The sequence below is a fragment of the Homo sapiens genome, chromosome 6 (genome assembly GCF_000001405.40).
Source record: "Homo sapiens chromosome 6, GRCh38.p14 Primary Assembly".
Taxonomy (NCBI): Eukaryota; Metazoa; Chordata; class Mammalia; order Primates; family Hominidae; genus Homo; species Homo sapiens.
This window is the reverse complement of record NC_000006.12, coordinates 32328277-32347738: the sequence shown is the minus strand read 5'-3', so window position 1 is coordinate 32347738 and position 19462 is coordinate 32328277. Positions and strand designations below refer to the sequence as shown.

General features: G+C 39.9%; 1 protein-coding gene and 1 long non-coding RNA gene across 8 annotated transcripts in view; one reads left to right on the top strand and one right to left on the bottom strand.

Annotated features, from left to right (window-relative positions):
* The window catches only part of TSBP1-AS1 (TSBP1 and BTNL2 antisense RNA 1), a 152558-nt gene that overhangs the window by 59992 nt on the left and 73104 nt on the right, over positions 1-19462 (bottom strand). The window lies entirely within an intron of this gene.
* The window catches only part of TSBP1 (testis expressed basic protein 1), a 79206-nt gene that overhangs the window by 24165 nt on the left and 35579 nt on the right, over positions 1-19462 (top strand). For 2 of the 5 annotated variants that reach the window (NM_001286475.2, NM_001286474.2), the window contains 8 exons: positions 4481-4501; positions 8101-8139; positions 8740-8760; positions 11104-11124; positions 11807-11827; positions 12282-12302; positions 15685-15705; positions 17130-17150. In NM_001286475.2, the coding sequence (NP_001273404.1) occupies positions 4481-4501; positions 8101-8139; positions 8740-8760; positions 11104-11124; positions 11807-11827; positions 12282-12302; positions 15685-15705; positions 17130-17150 (186 nt within the window). Of the gene's footprint in view, positions 1-4480; positions 4502-8100; positions 8140-8739; positions 8761-11103; positions 11125-11806; positions 11828-12281; positions 12303-15684; positions 15706-17129; positions 17151-19462 lie in introns of those variants that run through there. The other 3 variants (NM_006781.5, XM_024446307.2, XM_017010182.2) reach the window with 2 other exon arrangements.

The window sequence follows — 19462 nt, the reverse complement described above, 5'->3', positions numbered from 1 at the left end:
AGGGAGAGTCCAGATTACAAAAAGTCTTTTAGAATAAAATATGGAGAACAATTCTGAGCACCACAATAAGCCATTGTTTTCATCAGGGAAGGGATAAAGCCACATTTATGCTTTAAAAAGGCAACCCTGGCTTCTGGTAGAGAATGAAATGGGAGAGAATGACCATCATATTTATTTATGATGGCAAGAAGGAGAGAGGTACAGAGTAAAGTCTCATATGTGCTTCAAAGACAACAGGAGTTTCTACTGGAGAAGACTGTTCGGAAACAGCAATGGGGAGCAAAAATGACATTTACCTACATTCAGGCATGTATATGGGTATGGATTTTTTCTAAAACAAACATACAAAAAACCAGACATCACAGCCTCAACAACAGAGTGAGACCCTGTCTCTACAATGAATAAAAAATTAGCTGGCATGGTGGTGTGCACCTGTGGTCCCAGCTACTTGGAAGGCTGAGGTGGGAGGATCACTTGAGCCCAAGAGGTCAAGGCTACAGTGAATTGTGATTACGCCACTGCACTCCAGCCTGGGTGACAGAGTGAGACCCTGTCTCAAAAAAAAAAAAAAAATCTAAGAGGGCTGTAAGAGACATGGTTTTTTAAAAATGTTATAATTTTTAATTGACAAAATTGTATATATTTATGGTATACAACATAATGTGTTGATATATGTATACATTGTAGAATGACTAAATCAAGCTGTTAACATATCCATTTCCTCACATACTTTTTGTGGTAAGAACACTTAAAATCTACTCTCTTAGCAAATGTCAAATATAACACATTATTAACTACGATCACCATGTTATACAATAGATCTCCTGAAAGTATTCCTCCCATCTAACTGCAATTTTGTATGCTTTGAGCAACATCTGAGATACAGTATTTTTTTAAAAAATTGAGATAGAATCTCACTCCGTTACCCAGGCTGGAGTGCAGGGTGCAACCTCGGCTCGCTGCAACTCCACCTCCCGGGTTCAAGCGATTCTTGTGCCTCAGCCACCCAAGCAGCTGGGATTACAGGCGTGCACCACAATACCCAGCTAATTTTTGTATTTTTAGTAGAGACAGGGTTTTGCCATCTTGCCCAGGCTGGTCTTGAACTCCTGGCCTCAAGTGATTTGCCCTCCCCGGCTTCCCAAATTGCTGGGGTTACAGGCATGAGACACCGCACCCAGGCTTGAGATACAGTATTTTAAAAGACAGGAATATTAAAGCAAGACGGTGAAGAAAACGTTTGGAGAAGTTAAAGATACAGGAAAATTTGCTGATATGAATTTCAGACAGCATGGTGTGTTTTAGGGAGTAAGGAGAGGTGGAAGGAACGTCCGATTAGGAATTATAAAAAGCATTATGATAATAAGCATCCTTAAGATGAGGAATTGTCTTTGGATGGTGAGTAAATTAAATGAGGATATGACGGCCGGGCGCGGTGGCTCACGCCTGTAATCCCAGCACTTTGGGAGGCCGAGGCGGGTGGATCATGAGGTCAGGAGATCGAGACCATCCTGGCTAACAAGGTGAAACCCCGTCTCTACTAAAAATACAAAAAAATTAGCCGAGCGCTGTGGCGGGCACCTGTAGTCCCAGCTACTCGGGAGGCTGAGGCAGGAGAATGGCGTGAACCCGGGAAGCGGAGCTTGCAGTGAGCCGAGATTGCGCCACTGCAGTCCGCAGTCCGGCCTGGGCGACAGAGCGAGACTCCGTCTCAAAAAAAAAAAAAAAAAAAAAATGAGGATATGACACATTTTGGGATTAATCTCAAAGGATGATGAGTAATTAGTTATGTAGAGTATTTAGCTGAAAGATGCATAGGGCCACAGGAAGCTATTCATCCCTGAAGCTCAAGATGACGTGTGCTCCTACAGAATGGATGAGGCCCTCTTGAGAGATAATTCTCATAGGCAATTCACTGGACTGTGATAACTCGAGAAAGGGCCTCTCAAACCAGGACCTCAAAGGACTTGATCCTATTATTTCCTTGAAAATCTTGAACTAGCGTAGTGCCCAAGATAGAGGAGACTATGGTCCATTACCCATACATGTATAAACAGATAAGGACTGCAATCTGAAATGATGATATAATAATATGTGTTGAGCATTATGCTCCAGGCTCTGTCCTAAACATTTTTTCTTCATAATAATCCTAGAAAGTAGATATTATAAATCCTATTTTTAAAATGAATAAACTTAGGCATAAAAAAAAAAACAGGCAGAGTAACACAGCTAGTAAGTAGAGGAACCAGAATTCAAACCCAAGCATTCTAGTAGTTGATGGCCCATTGTACTTAATGAGACCTAATCAAGGGTCCCCTTTCTAAAATGATTTCGGTGAGAATTATATACTTTATAAACCAATTAACTCAGACTGATGTGGATTTTTATTATTATTCCTCAGTGCCAATTCCAGGAACCATATTTCAGTTTATTTTCTATTTCTCAATTTAGGAAAGAGAAATGAGAGCAAACAGATAATAAGAAGGGAGCACATAGGGAAACTAAGGAAAGTTTAATCAAGACTAAGGTCCTCCACCTCCTAAAAGCAAGTAGAGGAAAAAGAAAAAAAAAAAAAAAGACTAAGGGCCAAGCATGGTGGCTTACACCTGTAATCCCAGCACTTTGGGAGGCCGAAGTAGGAGGATCCTGGAGGCCAGGAACTCAAGACCAGCCTGGACAACATAGTGAGGCTCTGTCTCTACAGAACAATTAAAAGAATTAGTAGGGCATGGTGGCATGCCTGTAGTCCTAGCTACATGGGAGGCTGAGTTGGGAGGATCACTTGAGCCCAGTAGTGAGAGGTTATAGTGAGCTATGCAACCACTGAACTTCAACCTGGGCAACAGAGTGAAACCCTGTCCCCCCCACCCCAGCCCCAAAAAAAAAACCTAAGGTCTTCCAAGTTTCCTTAACAGTTTCAGTCTTTACAAAGGCTGAGAAGAAAAGGAAAAGGGAATCACCTTCTCTGCTCATCATCAGTCCTACATGTCATTCTGGGCCTCGGCCACACCACCAAAATATAAGATGCCTAAACAATCCATGAAAAAATCACACTACAGCTGGCATAGAGGATTTGATGCTCCCTGGTGAGGGTAGTGTGAGGGATTTTTTTTCTGATCTTCTTTTCAAAGGGGGATTAACGCTGATGCTTTTAAGCAATTGGCGTGCACTTAGAGATGTGGGTATCTAGCACAATTTACAAGGGAATTGAGCAAGTTCTTGGTTGTTTCAGTACCATAAACGCTTGTTTGTCTAGGGACCTTGTCCTCCTTATTTACCTCTTTCTAGGCAGGCCCTATTTCTAGAAAGTCAGCCTTTTTGCTTCTCCTACCAAAACTTACCCTAAGGCTAAAAGGCCCAAGAACACAGGGCTTTAGTTTGTGAATTTAGCCTCATTGAATCATAAAAGTTGAGCAGAAGAAAAATTATTAAATCCTGTCATTGATCGACTGTTGTGGGGTGGAGGGTGGGGGGTGGGGGGAGGGGGGAGGGATAGCATTAGGAAATATACCTAATGCTAAATGACGAGTTAATGGATGCAGCACACCAGCATGGCACATGTATACATATGTAACTAACCTGCACATTGTGCACATGTACCCTAAAACTTAAAGTACAATAATAATAAAATAAAATAAATAAATAAATTAAATTAAATAAATGCAGTTCCAAAAGATGGTGAGAATTATCAAACTTTGCATAGTCATTTAACAGTCAATGTAAGACAAATAAGACTAATGCCCAGACTTTCTCCACTGAATATAGTGAGGGTTCATTCTATGGTAGCTTGTACAAATTACTATCAAAGTTAATATCATTAAACCTTCTACAAGTCTTGCCCTAGAATTTAGGTTATTTTACAAGAGAAACATTTTAGAGCTGAACAAAAAGAACAGAAACAAAATGTTGGAGAGGGAAGATGGTCAGTACGTTAAAGAAAAAAATGTTTAAGGAATATTCAGAAAGAAGAGAAAATTGTAAAGAATATGAAGGAAAACGTGCTGAACTTAAAGTCAAGCAAACTGGAAGCTAAAACTGCCTTTAATTTTTTGCATACTCAGGCACAGCCCTTCCCTTTCTCAATCTCGGTTTTCTTTTCTTATAAAACTAGAACCTTTGTAACATTGCCTTTCTTTGGTTCTTGAGGCTATCACATTAGGGAAAGAAGACTCTCCAAACTGAAAAGATGAAAGAAAGAGGGAGGGAGAAACGGAAAAGACAGGAGAAAGGTGGTGAATGAAATCAGAATATTGGAAATATAGTAAAGCTGAATATTCCCCTGAAACTTTCACTCCTGCATAGTGTCTAAGGGGGAAAAGACATGGGATCACTTGCAAGTGTGGCCACTTTATGAGCCTACCTACAGGGGAATGGAAAGTCTAATAACCTGAGGGAGGACACTATTTCTGGGAAGACTTTTGGGAAATTGATGGATTATTGAAACTTTAGACTGACTTGAATAATTGTTATTGTTCTTTAGCTTTACCTCAAGGATCCATGAGTAAGTTTATCTTCTTGTTTCAAACTCTGGTGTTGTTGGGCTCCTATGCTAGGCAGAGGACTTCTCCCTGTCTTAACTATTTCCTGTTTCCTGCTATGTCAGGGTGAAAGGGCTTAAGACTCATAATTCTCCACCTTGTCCTTCATTAGCCATCTTAACTGGATCATGCCCACCTTTCTCACATTTCCCCCTCTCTAAGACAATGAGACCTCCCACCTTGCTTAAGCAAATTATTTTATTCTTGCCTTTGACCACATCCTCTCACCCCCTTATTTCTTCAGAAGTCATTTCTTCTCTCTTCTACATCTTTAAATATTTTCCTTCCTTTAACTGCTTCTCCTTAAGGTATAGAACAGGTTTGATTTTCTTCCATCTTAAACAGATCCTCCCTTGACTATGTCCCTCTCTAATCACAGCCTACCTTCAAGGGAGGAAATTATGCTGTACACTCTGACTGTAGGCTTAGGAAAAAGTTATTGCTCACTTCGTATCTGAACTATACACTATTTCTCCATGAATTGAGAATAATATAATAAGACCTACTAAAAAATCACTTTTAAAATAAATTTGCTTGTTAATTATTTTCAATTTACAGAGGAGTATTGCCTAGCAGTTAAGTATGCAGACTCTAGAGCCAGGCTAACTGGAGTTGTATCCCAGCTCCCTACTTACTATTTATTTGAACATAGGCAAGTTATTTAATCTCTCATTAAAATTTCAAGTCCGTTACATAACTAATTTCAACAACCAGTTGAAAATTAATCAAATAAAAGAACAGAGAAGAGGCTGGGCACCATGGCTCATGCCCGTAATCATGACACTTTAGGAGGCTGAGGCAGGTGGATCACCTGAGGTCAGGAGTTCGAGACCAGCCTGCTGAAACCCCGTCTCTACCAAAAATACAAAATTAGCTGGGCGTGGTGGTATGCTCCTGTAATTCCAGCTACTCGGGAGGCTGAGGCAGGAGAATTGCTTGAACCTGGGAGAGGAGGTTGCAGTGAGCCAGGATCGCAACACTGCCATCCAACCTGGGTGACAGAGTGAGACTCCATCTCAAAAAAAAAAAAAGAACAGAGAAGTGAGGGAAGCTGGAAAAAATGAATGGAGAAGGGAGGAAAACCAAAGAGGTAAAGTTTAAATAAACCTTCTGGAACTGATTTCAATTGATTGTCAAAAAAAAAAAAAAAGAACACATTTTCTAAATGAAGGGAAGACTGTGACAGGAATGAGGAGGAGGGAAGTGAGGAAATCGGCAAAAAATCCAAAACAGATAATCCTGACTGGACAGGGTTTTTTTTCTGATCTATGTGCTTTTCCTACAAAAGTTTTCATACTGACTATTACATTTGTGGTTGCATATTAGGGTCACATTTCCTACTAGCAAAGTTGTTTCTTGTTCAAAGATGGAATTAAATATATCATATTTCATTATTTTTTCTAAAAGGTATCAAAACTTCCAGATGCTTCACAATCTGAACAAGTTTATTACTCACAGGTTTTAATTAAATGTGATCCAACCAATACCTATCCTTAAAGTAACGAAAAGGAAGGGATTCACTTGCCCTATCCCAACTCAGGCCACAACCATATGATACTGATTTCAAAGTGCACTGTTGTTGAAGTATAGATGGTGCTCACTTAAATCTCTTCTCATCTGAAAACAGAGCTCCCAAATTAGCCACCACTAGCCCGGTGCCACCTATAGATGTGTTTTGTTTGGTCAGGATGGTATTACTTTAAATTTTGAATTTGAATGCCTCTGGGTAGGGCATGGACTTTTCACCATCTCTATCCCTTATAACTAGCAGATTCACAATCATGAGACCTGCTGGGCCCCTTAATGCAACTGAGTTTGTGATCGATCCCCACAGAGATAATCAGGAATTCTGTCTGGTATGGAAAATGTGGTACTCTCTAAAAGAACTAACTCTGATGCTCCCATTAGGAAGAATATCCACAGAGACAATGTCCTTAATCCAAAACACACAATATTCAGTATTTTGGCAGGATATGTACATCGTAAGTTTTTTTTATCTTCTTCTTTACTCTGTAAGGCAACAAGTAAATACCTTCCACTGCCCTGCTTATTTGTCTTCAGCTGGGAAACGCCACAAAATACTCAGTTCAAGAATTTCCTTTCTTGGCCCAGTATGGAGGCTCACACCTGTAATCCCAGCACTTTGGGAGGCCGAGGTGAGGGGATCACTCAAGGCCAGGAGTTTGAGACCAGCCTGGCCAACATGGCGAAACCCCATCTCTACTAAAAATACAAAAATTAGCTGGGCGTGGTGGCACATGCCTGTAATCCCAGCTACTCAGGAGGCTGAGGCACAAGAATGACTTCAACCCAGGAGGTGAAGGTTGCAGTGAGCCGAGACTGTGCCACTGCACTCCAGTCTGGGTGACAGAGAGAGATTGTCTCAAAAAAAAAAAGAAAGAAAAATTCCTTTCTCCTCATTATTCCATATTACTTTAGGTCAGGAATGGAATATATATGACCTGTGTTACATTTCTGCTCATGCCTTTGCCTGTGGCAGAAATCAGTAATTTATCATGATTCTCTTTCCTGCTCAGCTCACATGTATCCTAAAATTCTTGTCATCTCCAGATAGTCATTAATAATTGATCAAAATTAAATATGCATAACTCAAGTATACTTGTCACTCCTAACATAGGTTAATATCTTAAATCTTAAAAAATTAAGTATATGAAAACTGTCCTTTTAAAATTATCTTTATTTGGTGGTAGGAGTGGCTTCACCTTCTCAAGAAACTGACAGTTCAGTGATTGACGGCCTAAAATACCACATAGAAAAACAGACATCTCTTCCCAAATGCTGAGGGTAGATCCTGTCATTTCTGGGGAAAGCTACTATTTCCCTCCCCAAAACAGCAAAGTAACAAATAAGCGAAAAATAATTATACACAAAGAAGGAAACAAATTATTCAATTATTTTAAGAAAAAAAATTGCAAAATTTTCAACATCTTAAAATATGATTGGTTATTTCTCAAGACAGAAGCAACAGAGATTAAAATGACATAATTAAGGTACTAAGGTACACAAGAAGATAGGGTTGTTTTAAAGATTAAAATAACAGAAATTAATAAATCAAAAATAAAAACAGAATTAAGTGCACATTATAATACTCTGCTGTCAGGACTCAGAACTTTCCAAAGGACAGTCAGAAATAAGAGGAAAAATTAAAGCAGAAAAAAGTAAAATATAAAGTAGCTTACTACTTTGCCGAAGTGTTTCATTCATTTATAGTTACTGAATATTTCTTTCCATAACATTTCTAATACAACTTTTCATCTTTCCCTTCTGTTATTACTCCTGATTTTTCACTGCAACTTCACAATATAGGTAAGACAGAGGACACAACTTCTGTTTTAGAGATGAGGAAATTAATGTTCAAAACATTTAGTGACTTGCCCAAAATCACAGAGCTAGAGAATAGCAAAAGTCGGACTCAGCTCTTTAACCTCAAGACTGTTTGTACCACACCTGAGGAGGGGGAGGAGGGAATGGGATTGTCTATCTCCATGCCTTCTGAAAGTCTAAATCTAAATAATGTTACACTTTTCAATTTTTATTATAGGTAGTATAAAATGTTTACAAACAACTGAAGAACCTCCTTGTAAGTTTCCCATATATACAACTCAGTCCTTTTTTTACTGACACCTAATAATTGTACAAATTTATGGGATACATGTGATATTTTGATACATGCATACCATGTGTAATGATTTTGATATTCTATAATGTGCCTGCTACCAGAGGAATGGGGAAGGTGGTGAGAAAGCACATAAAGATGGAGGAAAGGAGAAAAACTTGCAATTTTACTGTTCTCTCTTTTACCAGTGTGAGGAATTTGAGACTGATTTCAAGATCCTCTAAGTGACTGATTAATTTTTTCATTTAACAAAGTGGAAATTCTTATAATAAAAACTAGATTAATTAATGAAATTGTGAAAAAGATTCTGGGGCCAGGGAAAATTATCTATAACTTTAGAAGGATTTGACAGCAGGAAGATAATGAAAATGAAGAATAAGAAAAATAACTGCAGGGAGTATGATTTTAACAGTCTCCTAAGGAAAAAAGGAAAATGCCTACTTACCTTCTTGCTGCCTTTCCATGTAAATCAAATATGTAGTAAATGCTTGATCTGAAACTCCCTGAGATAAACACCCTTGAGTCATGCTCTCTTCAAACTCACCTTTTTTGTTTGTATTTTAGCCAGAACTGCAGGAGCCATGAGTAAGTTCTTTTTCTGCCCTTTAATTCTCATGTGCTTTGCTTTACTAAACTGTTAGAATATGTAAGACACTCATATTCCTAGATTTTTTTATTTCTTTCACAAATTGTCCATTCCTTTCCCCTTGTTTATTCCCTATTCTTATCTTAATAAACTGGGGTGCCTCTGTAAGAAAGTACTATTGCCTTTAACTTTTCCGAAATCTTGAGATTCAACAGCAAAGGGAAAAGAGTGAAGAACAAAAAATGGTCAAGTGAAAGGAAGAAAGATTCCCCTGTGAGAAAACCCAGTAACACTCAAAGAAAGAGGCTTGATGGTGGCCATTCTACTTAAGACCCGCCAAGAAAATTTCAGTGACATGCAGTGAGTCCCAGCTCACTGACCGAGGATCCCAGACTGTCACTGATGTTTGTGTGGGATGTATATCCCCTGTTATGAACAAAGAATAAATCTGAAATAAGTATCCAGATAGAATTTTAAATGAAACTGTAGCATATATCTCTGGAAGAAGCACTGGTTGGGAATAGAGAATAAGGAATAAGTGAGAGGAAGTTGATTTAAAAAGGAAAAAAAATGGTAAATGGAAACAATGACTTTTATATGATCTGAGATTTTGCCAGCCCTTTATGGCCTTGATGCTTAAAGTGGGTCCAAGGGCCTGCATCAACGTCACCCTGGAGTTTTAGATATGCAGAGTCTCAGCCTATTGCCCACCCCGACCTACTAAATCAGACTCTGCATTTTAATAAGATTCCCAGGTGATTTGCGTGCATACCAACGTTTAAGAACCATTGCTCTACAGGATTTTAATTCTCTGCCCTGAGAGAGGAAATAAAAAGATGAATGCACTTGGTCCAAATTTAACCAGCTTTTCCAGCCCTGCAGATTCCCCACACCAAGAGTGACCTTAAAGCCAAAGACAAGAAAGATGAAACTCATCAGGGTTTCATTCACTTCTTAACACATTTCTATCCTTCATTTTTGAGGATGTTCAGAGCTTGAGCCCCTGAGACAGGACTAACTCTGAAGGAAGGAGAAAAAAAGTGATTTGATAATTAAAGCTCATGGTATATCACATCCTGTGTCTACTCCTCTTGGAGTATTTACACAAATGGAACATTATTAAAATAATCAAGTCAAACTTTGAGAGCAAATACTGGGTAGGTATCATAAAAGCACATATTAGGCCAAGCACAGTGGCTCATACATGTAATCCCAGCACTTTGGGAGGCCAAGGTGAGAGAATCACTTATAGCCTATGAGGTGTAGAGAGGTGTGGTGGGGTGTGTGTGTGTGTATGTGTATGTGTGTGTGTGGTCATAAAGAAGAAGACTGTTACTGCATTATTAACAAGTATGTGGGTCTAGTGTCTCAATTCCTTTGCCCAACACTCATACCTATAAATGTCTTAAGTCAACCTAGCAGTTTCTATTCCCTTTTACATGGCAGGCCAAGTTACTCTGTTGAATAAGGGCCAAAATCACTACAGAGACAGCAATTCCCACTGTCTCCTTCAGATGAGGCTATAGATTCTAGCTAAGCAAGTTCAAATTAGCCAGCTGGAAGACAGGCAATGGCCTGTGTAATCTCCTGAGATACAAGCAGGACACCCGTGGGGAAAGGGGAAGGAACGCTGCCTGACCAAATGTGCGTCTCCACAGTTCCAGCTGGCAGATTCCACCAGTAACCGGGATCCTCCAAGATGAAGAAAGAAGCATTTATAAACTTAATTTGTTCCTCCACTGAAGTGGAAATTTTGCTCCTGGTGTCTACATTTGTGATGTTTTCCCAGGAAGAATTTAAATGCAAACAGTATTTTCTCATTAGTTCTATTTTGTTTTTTCCATATTTTAACTGGAACTATTAGACCTATAAGTGAGTTCCTTTTCTGTTTCCTCTAATGTTCTTTGGCCTTCTGTAGGATATAGGGTCCTCTCCACATCCTAACTGTTACCATTTCTACCCCTGCAGGATTTCTCACTCATACTTCTTAATTGTATTCAAATCTTCTGACACCTTCTGATGCCCAAGCAATCAGACACAATATCCTGAATTGCTACTGAGTTTAGGACAAGGGAAAGCCAAATAATTCATGTTTAAAACTGTAGTTTATTTTAATTATTTATATTTATTATTTTTAGTTACTTAAATTTCTCATTTAAGATGGATGCTGAATGATTTGATCTGGTAGGAGGGTTATGCAGCTTCCAGGCTAAGATCATCTGCAGTCCCACAGTAGTTGTTCTCCTCTGGTTGAATTGCTTCATAGTTTCTTTAGAAACAATACTGGTAAAATGAAAATTCTATTAATGTCAAACCACACTTTCCTCCTTTTTGTATTTCAGTGCAATTCACAGCCCCTATTCGTAAGTATCAAGTTTGTTTTTCCACTCTGGTCCCTTTGATATCTGACCTACAAGGTCTTGGGGCCTGATCTGCCCTGCATTTTTAAAAATAATTTCAACTTTTATTTTAGATTCCGGTGGTGCATATGCAGGTTTGCTAATGGGTATATTGTGTGATGCTGAGGTTTAGGGGTGACTTGCTTTTTTAACACTGTCTTTCTCAACTCCCCTGGCATTCCTATTACATAGTTTCCAAAGAGGCCATGCACGAAGTGTTAAGAAATCTCACAGGCTAACATTTAAAAATATAAACCAAAACAGCCCTCTTAGAAATAGTCATAATGATCCATCAGCAAGGGAAGGTACACCTTTCAAATAAACCATGTCTCTAAGGAAACTAGGGGCAAGGGGCAAGAAAATGTAAGAAGAAAAATAGAGGCATAACAGATTAATATGGAGTGAGTCTTTCCCAACCCTCTGAAGATTTTCAACCATCACTGAAAGCAGGAGGAGGCCTCCATTCCTGTAGGTCCCTTATATTGTGCAGGGAGCCTGCCTGAGGCTCGCCATACAAGCAACTCTTGATCTTCCCGTTGTTTCTATTTATGATACTCCCTAGAGCGAGTGTTGGGAAATGGAAATTTCCTTCACAGTGGTGAAGCATACTGATATCTTTTTCTTTCTCCCTCTTTCTCTCTCACAGCCGGAGCTACAGGACCTATCAGTAAGTTTGCTCTCTGATTCTCCACAGTGAGCATTTTACTTTCCTGCAGTATCTTAGGGATCGCTACCTGGTTTCCATGTTGGGATTTCAAGGGTTTGGAGTTCACATTTTCTTCAACCCTTATTTTTCTTCAACCTAGCATTTCAGTAAGTCATGATTAGCTGTGTGAATGTACACCTCACCAATAAAAACAAACTACAAAGTGGAGAATGAACCCTTGCAGATTTCCAATGGCTTCTCAGCATCACACAAGGGATTTTTAGATGAGGAGGCCCTTATATGTACTAGTTTGCCATAGCAAGAAAGTCACCATTTCTACTACTCAACTGCAGCTGAACTTGACAATAGTGATGCAGATTCCTACTAGGGAAAGTATACAAATTAAAGTATATAAATAAAAAGTATATATAAAATATATATATAGCTACTGATTTCTTTTCTCTTTTTTTTTTAGAGCTCTCTCAAAAAACCATTGGTAAGTCATCTGATTCTCAATTATAATGCCTTTTAGTACTTTACTTAGAACATCAATCTATTTTTATTTCAATTATTCATGCCCAAGGACTCAAGGATCAAGTCCTTCTGCCACCTCATAATCTCACCCAGTACTCCAGATTGGACTCATCCAGGTTCTGCAATAAAAATATATTAACTATGAAGCTGAAATGCAAAGTGAAAAATATCCTGCTAGAGATGGTCCTAAGCTGTTTCCACTTCAGCATATAATCTAGCTCTGTAGAGCCAATACTTAATAAAGACTTAGAACCCAGCACCTAAACTTCCTGCTGTGCTTTCCATGCAAATAATTTTTCCATTATTAGATTATCTTCACTTTGTAAAATAATGCAAATTTTAAGTTTCCTTTCTTTATTTTTTTTGAGATGGAGTCTCGCTCTGTCATCCGGGCTGGAGTGCAGTGGCATGATCTCCACTCACTGCAAGCTCCACCTCGTGGGTTCAAGCCGTTCTCCTGTCTTAGCCTACCGAGTAGCTGGGACTACAGGCACCCACCACCACGCCCGGCTAATTTTTTTGTATTTTTAGTAGAGATGGGGTTTCACTCTGTTAGCCAGAATGGTCTCGATCTCCTGACCTCGTGATCCGCCCGCCTCAGCCTCCCAAAGTGTTGGGATTACAGGCGTGAGCCACTGCGCCTGGCCTTCCTTTCCTTTCTAATTGCCCTGAAAAGTTCTCTCCAGAAGAGTTAGGCTCTATTTTCAGCAACTTTTAGCAACCTAGTCACATTCTTTGAGTGATCCCTATAATGTCTTACTACTGTTTTTTTAACCCTCGCGTACATTACTTTGTTGCATCTAAACAACATTCAAATGGCAATGAGTAAGGCAGTTATTATCCCCATATTTAGAGATGAGGAAACTGAGGGTCAGGAGTCATTTCTCAAAAAAATAAGAGGATGGGTTAGTTAATAAAATTAAGACTGAAGTTTTACTAACTCTTCATTCTTTCCACTATCATTTTTGGGTGTTATAACAGGTTATTAACAATGAATAAAATGAAGTTCTAATATTGAGATTAAAGGGTAGTAAAGGCCTAGAGGAGAAAAAGTGAGAGAATGAGTAACACAAATAATAACAGATACAGAATGAAGATGCAGTTTAGAGAGAGATAAATAGGAGAAAATTTAAAAAGAACAAAAGTAGGAAGAAAATTGGAAGCAGAAAGAGTAAGTGAATTGGCACATAAGAGAATAAAGAAGGGAAATGAGTATGTTGAGAAAGAGAATAAAAATAAAGGTACAAAAAGTCACAAATTGAAACCGGAAAGGAAGGAAGAAAATATAGAAAAACTGAAGAAACAAAATTTTGAAGTGATCACCTATCCAAGGATTTAGTAACTTATGTCAAGAGGGCAGGTATCATAAGACTTCTACTTCAGAATCAAAGATACATATTTGTAGATACAGGCAAAGCAACTATTAAGTTAGCATAATATCTAAATGTGTAACTGGTTTACTGCTCATAGCCAAGGGTATCCAGATCTGGAAAGCCATCTTCCAGGTGTTTTACACAGGAAAAAAAAAATTCAGAGTTAAAAGTTCGAGGATTATTGATCAAAATGTGGATATTTCTCATTCTGAGTGACACTGAAGTGAAGGATTATTAACTGCAATGCCCACTGGGTGAAGATATGGTCTTTTTAGATTCAACTAACCACGCAGACTTAGAAGATTACCATAGCTCTCATCTGGGAACAGTCTACTCAGTAGGACCTAAGGGAGGAAGCACAGTTTGCCAGCAAGGGCATTAACAGCTATCCCTCTGCTGTGGGAGTAGTACTCGCCATGATCTATGCAGGTGTCCACATAGCCACCTAGGACCTATTCTGTTTGGCCTTCTGTCAGTTGAGTTGGGAGCTGACCTAGCTTAGAAACCCCACAGATCCACCAGGAACTAAAATCTCCTATAAGAACCCCATACACATTACCTGCAGGGATCCCGTAAGGAATATGACCAAATACATGGGTCACTACACTCAGGGAAGCCCAAAGTTATGGCTTCTTAATACATATTTACAATTCTCCCAGTTCAGATGCAGTCTAACATCAAGGATCATTCTTATGTAAGCAGTGTTGCTAAATAACATAACAGGCTTTCGGCTGGGTGCAGTAATCCCAGCACTTTGGGAGGCTAAGACCAGGGGATCACAAGGTCAGAAGTTTGAGACCAGCCTGGCCAATATGGTGAAACCCCATCTCTACTTAAAAAAATACAAAAATTAGCTGGGTGTGGTGTCGTGCGCCTGCAGTCCCAGCTACTCAGGAGGCTAAGGCAGGAGAATCGCTTGAACCCAGGAGGCAGAGGTTGCAGTGAGCCGAGATCATGCCACTGCATTCCAGCCTGGGCGACAGAGTAAGACTCTGTCTAAAAAAAAAACAACAACAAAAAAAACATAACAGGCTTTCGATATTTATCAGGTCACCAGGCGATCAGAGCTAGAAAATCAACTGAAGGCCAAATTCTCATTAAAAACTGAAGGTTTTGGCCAGGCATGGGCTCACACCTGTAATTTCTGCACTTTGGGAGGCTAAGGCAGGAGGATCACTTGAGACCAGGAGTTCAAGATCAGCCTGAGCAACAACAGAGCAAGACCCCATCTCTACAAAAATTTTTTTAATTAGCCAGGAATAGTGGCATGCAGCTGTAGTCCTAGCTACTCAAGAGGCTGAGGTGGGAGGATCACTTGAGCCCAGGAGGTCGAGACTGTAGTGAGCTAGGATTGCACCACTGCATTCCAGCCTGGGTGACAGAGTGAGACCTTATCTCAAAAAACAAAACAAAACAAAACAAAAAAAAACAGAAGGTTTTGTTGACTCTTTGCTCACAGACTCTAAAGCTAATCAAAGCAGCAGTCACTGCTCTATCACTCTCCAATAAGCTGGAAGCTGTGAGAAGAAGAAACTAGATTCTTACCTCCTATTCTAATGTCTACCTCTGGAACATATTAGTTGATCAGAAATAAAGATTTTAGTGAAAGAACAGTCCCTTGAGAAAGAAATATCTTCTACTCTTACTGACAGGAAGTGTTTCACCTTTCCCTACCATCAGTAATGTTAATACCTAATAACAAAGTTTTGCCTTTCCCTAGTATCCCTTAGGTTGGCAAGGATCCTATAAAAACCTTCACCTTGGGCTGAAATATTGCAGTAAATGCTAAATATCCTTTTTCCTTTTTTCTATAGTTAATATAGTTGGATTAAGTCTCCCTAATGATCTCATAACTGATATCACTTCCTCTCCCCTGCTCTACCTCTCAAAGCCTCACTTCTAGGATAAAATTAGTGAAAAATACACTCTCCAAATAACTGTACTAATATGCCAATTTGAATTTCTTTTTAGTGCAAACTCCAGGACCTATTGGTAAGCTGCCTGTATATATCAACTTATCTCTACTGGCTTCTTACTATGTCTGAAGGAGACTGGCTCCAACTGTTTAAGTATCTGGGTTAAAGAAGCTGAAAATCATATTTCTTAGACTTTCATTTCCCCATATCGTAACTGTTAGGTTTTGGAGGGAAGGCGAGGGTTAAAGAAAAGACACAGAGAGAGTGGCGGCTGTACAGCAAATGTAGGCTTTACGTCCAGCATAAGACCTACAGAAGTGGGGAACCAGCCTAATGCCAGTGCCCACTGCTGCTTACAGGCTGGGGGTACTTATAGGTATAGGCGGGAGGGGTCTGGGTAGTATGGCTTGCTGGCCGGCAGGATATTGATAAGATGTTCCCATGATGAGGGGGTTCTGGCCCTTGTTCCTGCAGAATGTAGTGTTCCTTGCACTTTCTCCCAGCTGAATATGACAGGGATGTTTCTTTAGTTGGCCCTTTGTCCACCTTGTGTTCAGGTGGTTAGGCAGAATGTTTCTCACAGCCCGAACCCCCGTGGAATGTTTCACTTTTACCAAGGTCTTCAAATTGCTGGAGGCTTACAAAATGGTGCAGTTTGGATTAACACTAACCATCTCTCTGGGCAACCAATTATATTTTAGAAAATGGAAATTCCATTACCTTAAAATTCATAATAGATAGGCATTGTTCTAATAATGATTATAGTGGCTTGTCAGTAATCATTAGAATAACTTCCTAAGGCAAAGGTGTAATCGAATCTGGAAAAGAATATAAGAAATGAACAAGAACATAAAGATAGCTGAGAGTGAAACAGAGTGATCTGAGGAAAAACACTGGGGGAATATGGAAAGGAATACAATTAAGGATCTCATCTCCAACACCTACAATGAAAAGCAAGAATGAAGTGGTTATGCTAAAACAGGGTTAATAATCTCCTAAAAGAAGATCTGGTTCTTATGGAGAGGCTAGAGTACAGCAGCAGTGCAGTGAAAAATATTTAATCCTGAATACTGAGATTTAGTAATTCCTGAGAAAATCATTTTCACTGCTTGCCTTTGGAAAATATCACTAATAGAGGTGTTTTGGGGCCAGGCGCAGTGGTTCACACCTGTAATCCCAGCACTTTGGGAGGCCAAGGATCACCTGAGGTCAGGAGTTCGAGACCAGCCTGGCCAACATGGTGAAACCCCATCTCTACTAAAAATACAAAAAATAGCCAGGCATGGTGGCGGGCACCTGTAATCCCTGCTACTCAGGAGGCTGAGGCACGAGAATCCCTTGAACCCAGAAGGTGGAGGTTGCAGTGAGCCAAGATCACCCTACCACACTCCAGCCTGGGCGACAGAGTGAGAGACTCTGTCTCAAAAAATAGAAGTGTGTGTGTGTGTGTGTGTGTGTGTGTGTGTGTGTGTGTTTAATTTGTTTGTTTCTATTTTTTAGTACAATATCCTGGATCCAATGGTAAGTACCTTATCTATCCTTCTCCCTCCAGGTTCCTTGATCTTCTACAGTGTCTAGAGGGCCTGTTCCCTGTCTCAAATGCCCTAGATGTGTCTCACTGCCATAAGAGCAGTTATTTTACACATGTTTTTATGCTTCCTGATTTCAACCTACTGAGAATTCTCCAGGGCTATTTTTTTTAAAAGAAAAAGAGTAAGAAAATGTCCCCAGAAATAGTCATAATGTCTTCTATAACAATATACAAGAATTTTCTAAAGTAGCAGAGAGAGAATAATAAGGGCAGCTTTCCAGTTCTGAAGTGCTTTGTAGTTTCTAAAGGGCCTACTCAAAGATAATGGAGGAGACAATGAGGAGGAAATGAGAAAAGAAAATCAAATTTTAAGAATAAATACAAAAGGGAGAAAAGACAACAAAATTTAACAGGAAATACTATGCAGGGTCTAGTCTAACCTGAGTTCTACAGTTTTCTCTCCAAAGGCCTTTCTCTTTCCTCATGTCCTATCCGGCTCACTATCTCCAAACATCCCCAACACACGTGCGCGCGCGCACACACACGCACGACAAAGAGAGAGGAAAAGAAAGATAGGACAGAGCACCTCATGGAACAGGATATAACAGTAATTGGGCTGTAATTTACAGGAACTGGCAGAAGCATCACATATGGAAGAGAATAAAGTGAAAGTTCATATTGTGACGAGCTAGGGAGAAACTGGTGTTAAAATCTAGGGCATCGAACCAACCCCAGGACACGGGAAATTCTGAATCTAGAAATTAAGGGATAGCATTAGAAAGTTTAAGTCAAGCAGGAAGAATTATCAGAGGGCAAGTCACATATATTCAAACAAACATTCCTTCATCTAGCTGAGCTCCTACCATGTATCTGATACTAAGCTGAGCACTGAGGATAAAGTCATGAATAAGGGAGAGAAAGATATGGTTGGTCACTGACGCCATGGAGTTTACAGTCCTATAAGATAACTTGGGAAAACAAACCCAAAATGTGTAGAGGGCAGGCAGCATCCCACACAACCACACTACGACCATTAAAACTGGATATTTACTGCCCTGAATTCTGGTTCTAACTATCCTTTTTGTGAATGAATAAGAGCCATTTGTTATTGACTATTCCCCTGAATCAAGACTGCTTTTCTCAGTACTCACAGATTGCCAAGACTTATAGCCTTGGAAGTTCTCATAATTATTACAGGGAGGATAAACATAAGCCAGCTCACCTCAGAGGATCTCACTGGGGCTAAAGGAAGGGTCACATCTGGTCCACAGTTCCCTAATAGCCACCATGTGCCAGAGAATCTACATGGATACATGAATTCCCTTTCCCTTTTCTCCCCTGCTTGACTCCCTCTCCCTTATGTGTAAACAATTTAAAAATATGATAGTGTATAAATGAAAAATATATTGCTATTTTATTCCTTTCTAGCTTTCCCCTAAGTTATAAGCGATTTGGAGAAAGTGCAAAATGAACTGATTAAAATTTAAATGACTTTAACAAAAATTAGTGGCTCGCAACAGCCCTAGTAAAGAAGAGTAGGAAGAAAGCTTTTCAAGTCAATAAAAATTATTGGGTGGAATATTCACTATTTGGGTAATGGGTACACTAAAAGCCCAGACTTCACCACTATGCCATATATGACATAAGAAATCTGTACTTGTACCTCTTAAATATAATTAATTAATTAAAAGGTTAGTGAACAAGAGTGACTAAAGAAAATGAGGCCAGGGCCAGGCATGGTGGCTCATGCCTGTAATCTCAGCACTTTGGGAGCCCGAGGCAGGTGGATCACGAGGTCAGCAGTTCGAGACCAGCCTGACAAACATGGTGAAACCCCGTCTCTACTAAAAATACAAAAATTTGGCCAGGCAAGGTGGCTCATGCCTGTAATCCTAGCACTTTGGGAGGCCAAGGTGGGTGGATCACTTGAGGTCAGAAGTTCAAGACCAGCCTGGCCAACATGGTGAAACTTCGTCTCTACTAAAAATACAAAAAATTGGCCAGGCATGGTAGCGCATGCCTGTAGTCCCAGCTACTTGGGAGGCTGAGGCAGGAGAATCACTTGAACTTGGGAGGTGGAGATTGCAGTGAGCCGAGATCTCACCACTGCACTCCAGCCTGGGTGACAGAGTGAGACTCTGTCTAAAAAAAAAAAATACAAAAGTTAGCTGGGCGTGGTGGTGCACGCCTGTAATCTCAGCTACTCAGGAGGCAGAGGCAGGAGAATCGCTTGAACCCAGGAGGTGGAGGTTGCAGTGAGCCGAGATCGTGTCACTGCCCTTCAGCCTGGGCGACAGAGCGA